At 46.4% G+C, this 11078-nt stretch overlaps 1 annotated feature.

Annotated features, from left to right (window-relative positions):
- Positions 565–1083: an enhancer, noted in NCBI's record as "NANOG hESC enhancer chr8:135937956-135938474 (GRCh37/hg19 assembly coordinates)". NCBI's record gives its function as "activates a minimal SCP1, AML or CMV promoter by ChIP-STARR-seq in primed H9 embryonic stem cells {active_cell/tissue: H9 hESC(primed)}" and the evidence as "EXISTENCE:reporter gene assay evidence [ECO:0000049][PMID:30033119]".

The raw sequence follows: 11078 nt of genomic DNA, 5'->3' as shown, positions 1-11078 counted from the left end.
AGCTTCATCAGGGTCAACGAACAGGTTTTGTTAGACTTTCCGAAAGGCCTTCATGTTTCAACAAACGTCATTGTTTGCACCCTCTGAGCCAAGCACTGTCCTAGATAATGGAGACTCAAAGATGAATCGGCAGCCATTCTCTCTCTCCAGGAGTTTGCAGTTGGAAGGAGTTCAAAGCTGTTTTAATGCCCCCCATGATCATCACTATCTTTCAGACACCTAGGAATCAGGTTAGAAACCACTGATCTAATCAAATCTCATTTTATATAAGAAAAAACTAAGAACCAGAGAGGTAAAGAGATTTCTCCAAAGTTAGGACCGGAACTCAACTTCCAAAATCCTACGCCAAAGCTCTTTCCACTTCATCATCCCACCTGCATGAGATTGAAGCAGCAGACATCACCTGCCCATTTGCTGATTTTTGCCAACTGGCCGACACTGAGATGCTGGCAAGCAGACTTGTGAATGCCCAGTTAAGCCCAGCTGGGGTCATCTGCAAAATGGAACACTACCTGCGGAGGAAAACAGTCTCACGGAGGCCCTGCAGAGACGCTATGGAGGACAGGCTTAGAGCAAGCGAGTCCAAAAGAGGAACGGGAACGGAAGCAGACATGGAAGCTGATCTGCCTGCCTTCCCAGCACACACCCAGGAACATATGGCCTGTAATTAGCCACCCGGGAGATGGTTATGGAGCCACAAATGGAGAATTACGGCTTCAGGGGCTTCAGGTGAGAAACCTCGGCAGGAAGCCCAGCCTTCAGAAGACAGAAAAGCCTGTTTTCATGCAAATGCCTTCAGTAATCATAAACAAAGGGAGACAGGCAGGGGCTTAGGGATGACAGAGCACGAGGAGCTGTGGCTCTACCAGATGTGTAACTGGAAGGTCTTCGAGGCCCCGCAGCCCTTCTGGCGTTCCTCACGGGCCCTGGGCACCCCACCTGATTTATCACAGGACTGCAATCTGGCAACCCTCAGGGACATGACTGAGCCTGTGGTTCCAATGACCCTGATTTTCGTGGTTGGGAAGATCCACTTTACACATAAGAATTAGCCACCATTCCTCTGAACCGAGTTCATTTTGCCTCTTTGCCTCCAGCCCCTTCTACCCCATGCTAAGTGGAGGAGGAGCAGAAGTAGCAGACACTCCCCAGGCCTGAATCCTGTGACCACCACTTCCTGGCTAAAGGCCGTCACTTCACTTCTATTTTCTCGTTTCCTATCTGTAAAATGGGGACCATGTTGTACGGAAAACAGGAGCTACTACTTTGAAAGCTGTTAGGCATGTGTCTTGCTTATCATACAGACTCAATAAGGGTGAGAGGTCTCTGTCGATATCCCCACCTCACAGATGCCTTTAGCTCACTCGTATCCAATTCGGTTGCACTGTCTTACTGCTCTAGTCCTTCTCGGCTTTCCTCTCACCTCACATACCCTCCCACAATTCAAACTCCCCTCCACCTGTGTGCCTTTGATAATCACACTTGGAGTTCCTTTCCCCCTCATTTCTGCACCTCTATAACCTACCCCACCACCTAGACTCAGAACCAATGGTAGTTCTTCAGAAAGCATCCCGCATAGCAAAGACAGAAATAACCAATCCCTTCTCAGCTGTCGTGATGAATCAGCTCCCTTATGGCTCTGGGCACTCTCTTCCCTGTATTGGAATCATTTATGCCTGTTACCTCTCCCAATCCCCAACTACCTACTGCGTGGAGCAGCAGGGGCTTGGTAAATATTCATAGAATGGGTGTACAAAAGAAGAAAGGGATAATGTTTGCTCTGTGTAGCTTCCAGTTTCCTCTGACCTGTCCCCGTCATCCTCCACTCTGCTCAAATCTTCTTGCTCAGCCAAGAAGCACCATTCACTCACTCTCCTGAAAGCAGCTGCAGATGTACGCTTTCAAACCCACCATATGCCAAGTCCTGAAAGGAAAGTCAAAGCTCCAGCTGGCCTTGCCTGAATGAGAAAGAAGGAGTAGGGCAGAAGTGAAGGGTGCCAATATGTACACTGATGGGTCAGGGAGCTGTCGACACAGGCACAGACTGCAGAAGTTGGAGTAATGGAAAATAAGCCAGAATTGGCTGGCTGAGCCCGGCGCGGTGGCTCATGCCTGTAATCCCAGCACTTTGGGAGGCTGAGGCAGGTGGATCAGTTGAAGTCAGGAGTTAGAGACAAGCCTAGGTAACATGGTGTAACCCTGTCTCTACTGAAAATACAAAAAATTAGCCGGGCATGGTGGTGTGCACCTGTGGTCCCAGCTACTCCGGAGGCTGAGGCTGGAGAATCTCTTGAACCCAGGAGGCAGAGGTTGCAGTGAGCTGAGATGGCACCACTGCACTCCAGCCTGGGTGACAGAGCAAGACTCTGTCTCAACAAAAAAAAAAAAAAAAAGGAGAAGAAGAAGAATTGGCTGACTGAGGTCAGACCATGAAGCTCTTGCTAAAGAAATTAGGTTATGTTCTATAAACAGTGGGGAGTCCATGAGGATTCATTGGAGATGATTTCTAATAAAGTTCTGAGCATGATGACTGACACAGAGTGAGTGTTCAATAAATGTTAACTATTATCATCATTATTAATTTAATGGACATCTTAGGTCTAGGGAGGTAGCCATTGGATGCTTTGAAATGAAAATATCCAGGTAATTATACTCAAGTTCTACTTCTTCCCCCAACTCACTGTATGACCTCATGCAAGTCTCTCGACCTGTCTGAACCTCTCTGGGCTCCAGTTTCCTTATCCGTAAAATGAAGGGGCTGTACTTGGTCATCTCTGTCTTTGTGAACACCAAAAATCTGAGACAGGTCTCAGTCAATTTAGGAAGTTTATTTTGCCAAAGTTAAGGATGCGCACTCATGACAGCCTCAGGAGGTCCTGAGGATATGTGCCTAAGGTGGTCAGGGCACAGCTTGGTTTCATACATTTTAGGGAGACATGAGACATCAATCAACATACATAAGATGAACATTGATTTGGTCCAGAAAAGTAGGACAACTCAAAGCAAAGGCAAGGCAACTGGCAGGGAGGGGGCTCCCGGGTCATAGGTAGATAAGAGACAAATGTTTGCCTTCTTTTGAGTTTCTGATTACCCTCTACAAAGAAGGCAATAAGATATGCATTTATCTCAGTGAGGGGTGACTTTGAATAGAATAGGAGGCAGGTTTGCCCTAAGCAGTTCCCAGTTTGACTTTTCCCATTAGCTTAGTGATCTGGGGGCCCCAAGATTTATTTTCCTTTCACATCTTCCTCCTTTAACGATCCCTTATCCTGAGACTCAGCTTCTCCTGCAGATCTCGATGACCTGTCCTTTCTGTGAACACCCCTTCCTGGGCTGTGCCACACACATCTATGTTCTCTTGCATCATTCATCATTGTTCCAGTTTCCAGAGTTTCTGATCCACCCAGAAACCACATCTCTATTCAGATCTTCCCATCAAGACCTACAAAACAACTGAGCACCCAGAACATTCCCAATAGCTATTGATTTAGGACGAGTCACAACATTAGGAAAACGAGGAGTCAAAATTCAGCTTTGTCTTAGCAATAATAATGATAAAAAGGAGGGGGACCAGGAGGAGGAGCTAATACTGAGTGTCCAGCCTGGGCCTGGCTATTCAAAGCATTTCACACCTGTAGCAGACATGGCTGTCAGTCCAAAGAGTCAGATGTGTAAGGTCCTTGGAGCAGGCTGCGCTATGGTCAAGCCATTATAACCCCTGTGACACACACATACACATCCAGAAGGTCTCCTGGAGTCAGAAAGTCTGGGACAACGGGAAAACCACAAAAGAAGAAAAACAGCCAGTTCCTGTCTTAGCTGATTAGCCAACCTTGCCACATTCTACCATTGTAACATGCTCTACCCTAACTGATCAATCAACCTCGTGACACTGTGCTCTGTGACCCCTCCCACCTTGTGATAATGTACCTTGGGACATTCTTCCCCTGCCCACAATAAAGGGCCCCTAACTGTAACTTTCCACTGCTTACCCCTAACCTGTAAAACTAGCTCCAATCCCACCACCCTCCACTGACTCCCTTTTTGGACTCAGCCCACTCACACCCAAGTGAATAAACAGCCTTGTTGCTCACACTTAGCCTGTTCAGGTTGTCTCTTCAATTAGACGCACGCGTAACAAGATGGTTAAGAAATATGTATCTTCTTTAAACTCAACATAATTTCAGCGTTGTACCCCTATCCCATGTGGGCTGACAGAAAATCCCTTTTTGATCATTTTTTAGGCCCCTTCACTTTTTAAGGTGGACCCAGTCCCAGGAATCCCATGTGGTTCCCACAGGGCAGGGAGCAGCTTCTCCTCCACACTCATTCCTAGTTGCCAATGCCACTCTCATCCTCCAAACACACGGTGGCCCCTCAGAGTCAGGTGACTGCAGCTGCACAGCTTGGGCACGGGGAAACCTTTGATGACATCAGCACCCCAAGACCCAGGGCCCCGTTTTTCAACATCCTTTCTTGTCATTCTGCTCCTCCTCCTCTCCAGGCTCTACTTGCACTGTGAGCACCCTGGCTGTGGTCCTTCCTTCCTCTCTTTGATATGCTGGAGTCATGGGCCACACCTGTTTTCCCTCACCCTCTAGGAGCCTAGACCCTTAGCCCTCCTCCTACCCAACCCAACCCTGCTCAGGGAAATCTCTGAGTCTGGCAGGCAGAGTCCTCACCTCTTCCTGCTCCCAGAAGTTTCTCCTCCCTCAAGTCCTGGCCTCCTTCTTACTTTTGCATTTTGATTACTCACTACTCCTAGAGCCTAAACATTTTGCAAAAAAATAAAAATATATCTTTCCTAGAAGAAAGCCTTCTTCAGATTTCCTAGAGGGTGAGGGGAAAATGGGTGTGGTCCATCATTCCAGTACATCAAAGAGAGGAAGGAAGTGCCCCAGACAGGGTGCTCTTGAGGGCCGTCCGAGAGCAGAGCCTGAAGCACAGCATCATGGACGATAAAGAAACAAATAGACATGGGTGTGTGCCAATAAAACTTTTTTATGGACACTGAAATTTTTCACATGCCACAAAATATTATTCTTCTTTTGACTTTTTAAAAGCCATTTAAAATGTAAAAACAAATCTTAAAAATGTTATTAAAAACAAACAAAAAAAGTGCTCACAGGCCTTACAAGAAGAGGCAGCTCAACAGACTTGGCCCAGGAGCCATAGTTTGCCAATCCCTGGTGTGGAGGAACGAGCACTGGATATGGAATCCGGCAGCTGTGTTCCATTCCTGCCTCTACCTCATCCTGGCCCTTGAGCAAGTCATTTCAGGTTTCTCGGTTTCTTTTATCCTCAAAAGGCTTGGGATATAATAGCGTACTTGTCATAGGACTGTTGTGAGCTTTAACTGATATACAGTGGAAAGGGCTATTAGGCACAAATACCCCAAGATTATAAAGGCTAAGTTAGGGCAGCAGTGACCCTTTCTTATTATGGAAGAAAAACCTGGCATCTGGAAAGTATGAAATAGTAGGGGAGAAATAGGTTCTGGAATCAGAAAAGTCCCAGGTTCCAGCCCTGACCCAGCCACACGGAAACATATAACCTTGACAGAGTTACTCGGACTCTCTGAACTTCAGTTTCTTCATCTATAAAATATTGTTAATATGCCCACCTTACAAGCTTTTTGGAAGATTATTTCAATGGCATAAAAAGTACTTGTCATATAGAGACAGAAAAAAATGGCAGCTATTATTTATTCCAATGCTGTCTTGATCTTTTTTTAATTTCAAATTTCTGTTTTTCAGAGATGAAGCCAAAGTTCTTTATCAAAAGCATGCCTGCTTGCTGTCTCCAAAACATCTCTTTTAATGGTTCCCCTGGGCTTCAACACAACATGCCCCCTTCCTCCCCAAGGTAAACCTTGTTGCTGGAAAGTGGGGCAGCCCTTTGAACTGGCATTCTTTTTCCATGCTGAGAAATAACACTGGGCAGCATGCTGGGGGTTTTTTGTTTCCTATCTCTCCTCCCTAGAGTTGCCCTTTCTGGGTCTGAGGCTGACAAGGGACTGGCAGGGGGAGAGGCTGCCCACTGGCATGGCCTGGGGAGGGGGAATTATCTGCTCAGGCCTCATTGCAGCTGCAGGGGCCTCAGGGCCCTGCCGGCTTTGGGGTCAGGCTGATTATGTGTTCCAGCCAGCTGTGTCTTTGATCTGACACAAACAGGCCTGGGATGGACCAGGCTTCTCTTCTTGCTGAGAAAGTTTCTGGATGTGTCATTTTGGTGGAGGCCTGTTTGGGGCTAGAAGCTTGATGTGACTAAAGGATCCATGATGCTTTAGTAGAGGACAGGCTGATGGAAGAAACTCCTGGTTGTCTGATTGTCTTGGTCTTCACAGGGAGATGGATGGGCCCAGGGCTGGGGTTTGCAGCCAAGAAACTGGAGTCAGGATAGAGGCCAGGATCAAGAATAGCCAGAGTGACGTGAGCCCCAAGAAAGCTGTGGCCAGAGAAAAACAGAAAGCTGGGCTTAGGCACTGACTCCAATGAATGAGGATAGAGCCCAAGGTCAAGGCAAAGTCCAAGAGTTGGGTGCCTTCAGTCCATGTGGGTCAAGCACCTTCCCTTCCCTAGAGGCTGGGACAGGTCCTGGGACTGTGTGACAAATATGACTCCAGTCACCTGAAGAACTTGCTTTCCAGGCAAAGAGGTGTTCACATGTAGGCACCGAGATGTGTTCCCTAGCCCATCTCACTGTATTCATGGGCACACAGCTAATCCTTATTCCCTAGCTTATTTGCAATGTGAGCCATGTGACCAAGCTCCAGCCAGCGGATGTGGGTGATGGGGATGTGGTCAGGCCTGGCCCACAAAATGCTCCCACAGCCTCTTCCTCCTTTGGTGGCCAAATGCAGGGTCTAACAGAGGGCCCCCAGGCCCAGGACGAGAGCAGAGCCACAACATGGGAGGAACCTGGGTCACTGAATGACCCCATAGAAGACCACCTGTGGCTAGGAGCATCTGCAACAGACTTGGTGAGAATAAGAAATAAACCTTTAACAGGTAAATCACTGGGATTCAGGAGTTGGCTTGTTACAGCGGTTAACCTGTCCTGACTAATAATCATGTTCTAAAAATATATAATAAGAGCCATGGTCACGGTGCTATAGAACAAGATGACTGAAGAGAATAAAATCCAACCTCCTTCCAGCTGCAAAGTTTTAAGATTTCAGCATTCTCCAGGCCCTAATCTGGGATGTTCTTGGTCAAACCTGAGCTGCTGCTGGAATTAGTCTCTGGGTCCTCCACAGATTCAGCCTGCTGTCCACTCCTGATTCATTCAGCCCCCCGCAGGTGCTGGCTACTCCTACAGCTCCTAGAGGTCCTCAGCCTGTTTCTCCAGGGTCTCTGACAGCTGCCCATGATGATCTTCCCTAGGCAGAGTTGTGCCTTCCTCACCAGGCTGTGGTCTCCTTAAGGACAAGGACTGTCTGCTTCTCCAGTATCCAACTGAGAACAGAGAAGAAAGCAAGGCTTGTCTCTCTGCTTGATTAACAAACAGATGGCATGCTTCCGTGTCCTCCAGAGCTCACCAGGTGGATGACTATCGTCTTGCACTGTTCTCCACATCTTACTGCCTGCCCTGGCCTATCTATCTGTGCTGTGGTAGCTTGCAAGTGGCCATGCATTCCCTCCACTTGGGCACATGCTCCTTTGCGATGGGTCTCAGCCACTCTTTCTATCAAATAGTGGGATTTATTGCTCCCACCTTGAATCTAGGCATGGCCATGTGACTTGCCTTAGCCTAGAGGACAACAGCAAACATAATACGAGCTGACACTTGAAAAGCATATGTACATTGGGATCTGCTCTTCTTTGCTCCTCAGGAATCTTCTGCCATCATGTGAACAAGCTTGGGCTAGCCTCTTGGAGAATGAGGCACCAGGTGGAGAGTCCCAGCTGTTGCATTAGAGACCCTGATAAGAGAGCAAAGCCATTCTAGAGCACTCAAACATAGCCACACCAGCTCAGAATAGAAGACCACCCAGCCAATCCACAGAATGATAGAAAAAAAAAGAAGAAGAAATGCTTGCTATCTTCCCCGACTACATTTGGCATGGTTTGTTATGCAGCAAAAGTTAACTGACACATGTGTGCAGTCACCCATGACAGACCTTTCTGAGAATTAGGAAACCGAAGCTGTCATGGATGAACTCCAGCCAGCCATCCCCTAAAGCCCTTCCTTCCTGTGAGGCTGGGAAAATGGGAAAGTAGATCATTTCCTCTTTTTTTCTACCTGCATGGAGTGCTGTAGGTGAGAACTGCCTTGAGAACTACGTGCCAGTAACCCTCGCACGGTCAGCTCTCACCAAAACCTTGAGCACTGGAAAAGAAGAAAAGGTAGCCAGTGGGCTTCCATTTGCCCTGCACACACCCATGCACACAGATGCACATATACACATACGCACATGCCCGTGTTGCATGCACACACACAGACACATGCACACAGTTTTTGCATCACTGGCAGCAGAGCGGAACAACTCCAATTCATTCACGAGCTGGGAGAACCTAAGATGGGAATCAGAGGTGTCAAATAAAAGCAGAAACAGATGAGTTAGTATTCAAAATTCACTTTCTGAAATCCTAATGCACTGTTCAAACTGGAAAAGCAAACTTTGGAAATGAACACTTTCTCCAAGTTTGTCTTTCCTAGGCAAGAGTCTCTGTGCACCAGCAAATGCATGCCTGGCACTTACATTACATTATACTATATTATGTCATATTATACTATATACATTAACGAATTTAAGTATAAAATATATTTAGCCTAATTACTTCATGTTTCAGGGCTGTGCTGGGGCCTGTACATAAACAAATAAAATAGAAATAGTCCCTACCTAAAAGAGGTGATTATCTGGTGGTTCTGTAAAGTAGTTCTTCAATGTCCCATTATTCCTATATGTGACCATTATTTATTTAACATATATTATGTGCTACTCCTTGTGATACAGAGAGAATAAGACACAATGCCTGCTCTCATTAAGTTTATATCTGGTGAATATCCTCCGGACCCATATGCCAGTGAGGAAACCTGAGCTCAGAGAAGTGTGATAACTTGTTGTAGGTCACACAGAACAGCTGAAATTCAAGCCCATGTCTCCTGCTTCCATCTGGGAGTGATCATTCCACACATCTCACTGTAGTGAATCCAGAGGGAAGGAGGTCATCCCTGTCTTTACTTTGGAGCAGGTGGCAGAGCCTCTCGCTCTTTTGCTTTAGCTATTGGTTGGTGGAATACAGCACTAATGGCAGTTAATTGCATTATAAGAGTGACAGTGTATTAGCATTTTAAATAGCAATGGTGCCAGTTAGACTTTGTTGGTTGCAAGCAACAGAAAGTCCATCTGGCTAACTTTAGGGAAAAAAAATAAACTCAGGGAAGGATATGGAGTAGCTCTAAGCATCTGCAGCAAAGCGGAACAGCCTGCTTCAGAAAGGTCAGCAAGGAGAGCAGCTTCCAGGTCCTGGTCACCACCAGGAGAAATAGCTCTAGCCATTTATTGTTTCTCAGTTTCTGCTTCCTGTAACTCCACTCAAGACTCAGATTCCTGGAGGAGAGAACCTGACTGGCTAAGCTTGAGGTTCATGCCCACATTTGACAGTCCCACTGAAACTTCACATCCTGGGGGAGCAACTCCCAAATGGGAATCAGGGTGCAGCTGCCAGAAGGAAGTAGAATGGCTGGTGAGCAGGCAACTACAACCCTTGTCCAAGAAAATAATCACTAGAGACCTTGTGGGTACAGGAGCCAAGAGTCATGCAAATGGTAGGATGTAGATTGTGCTTTCCAAAGATGGTTGCACCAATATAAATATCATCACATATACTTTTCTTAGAGTGTGACACCCCTTCATCAAGGAGGATCTCTGTTGTCTTCCCTTGAACCCAGGCAAACTTTTGTAACTCCCTCAACCAATAAAATGTGGCAGAAGTGATGCTGCATGGTAGGCGTCCCCCTGGCTCACCCACTCTGTGTCAGCATGCAAGCCTTTGGGAGCTGTGAGCCACCATGTTGAATAGGACATTCAGAAGGGTTGAGATCCTAGCTATATGACAGGCACTATGATATATGTTCTCATTCTCAAGTTTTAATGCTCATAACAACACTGAAGATAGGTGGCATTATTCTCTCCCTGCAGGAAAAATAAAAATTAAATTAAAAACCATGAGACTCAGACAAGAAGAGATTTGCTAGGATTGATACCCAGGTCACTCCTGACTCCAGAGATCCTAAGTCTTTTTTTTTTTTTTTAACCAGTAACTCGACCTGATTCTCTGATGATGTTTCTGTTTTCTAAAAGCACCCCAGTTATGCTGCCTAGTGAAACCAGCTGGAGGTAAGCTTGGAAGGCCAGGGATCAGGACCCAGATCTGCCTTGAAATCACTGTGTGACCTTGACCCCACTCTGAGACCATTTAATCATAAAGAGGGACAGCAAGCCTGGCTCTGAGACCTTGCAGGGGTGGAGTGGGGATCAGATGTGTTTCCAGATATAAAAATGCTTTAAAGAGGAAAACGGCCCAACCAATATAATACAGTACTTCTCCTGCGTGCATCAGATCTTGCTGAGAGCAGAATTCTAAAACCGTCTGAACTCTCTAAGTATTCAGAACTTGTGGAGAGGAAGAACAAGGTGTATAATTTTTTGTTGTCATTGCTTTAGAAGCTCAAAGTAGGATTGGAAAATCGTGACTTCTAAGGCTCACAGCTTTGAGTTTCTGCGGACAGCTGGGCCTGGAGATGATGTCATCTGGCATGAGTGAGAAAGCCTCCCTTTAGCAAAAAGTGATTTGCAGGAAGGGAATTTCTGCACTCTGCGTGTGAGCAAGAGATGACCAAATGTTCCCTGACATTCGTGCTTGATTACCTGTAAAATGAGGCCCCATCCTTAACCGTCCATGGGGAGAACAGAATATCAAACCACAGGAGACCATGTCCACTCTAACCCCAAAACTGAGATCCTGCATGTGAACATACTTTGGAAACAGAATATCGAGAAAGAATTTGAAATATATATGAAGATTTACAGGCATGCTTATCAGGTCACTGTTTACAATATAAAAAGTAGA

Source organism: Homo sapiens, chromosome 8 (genome assembly GCF_000001405.40).
Source record: "Homo sapiens chromosome 8, GRCh38.p14 Primary Assembly".
Lineage (NCBI taxonomy): Eukaryota > Metazoa > Chordata > Mammalia > Primates > Hominidae > Homo > Homo sapiens.
The sequence above is the reverse complement of the archived record's forward strand: the minus strand, read 5'-3'. Positions and strand labels throughout refer to the sequence as shown.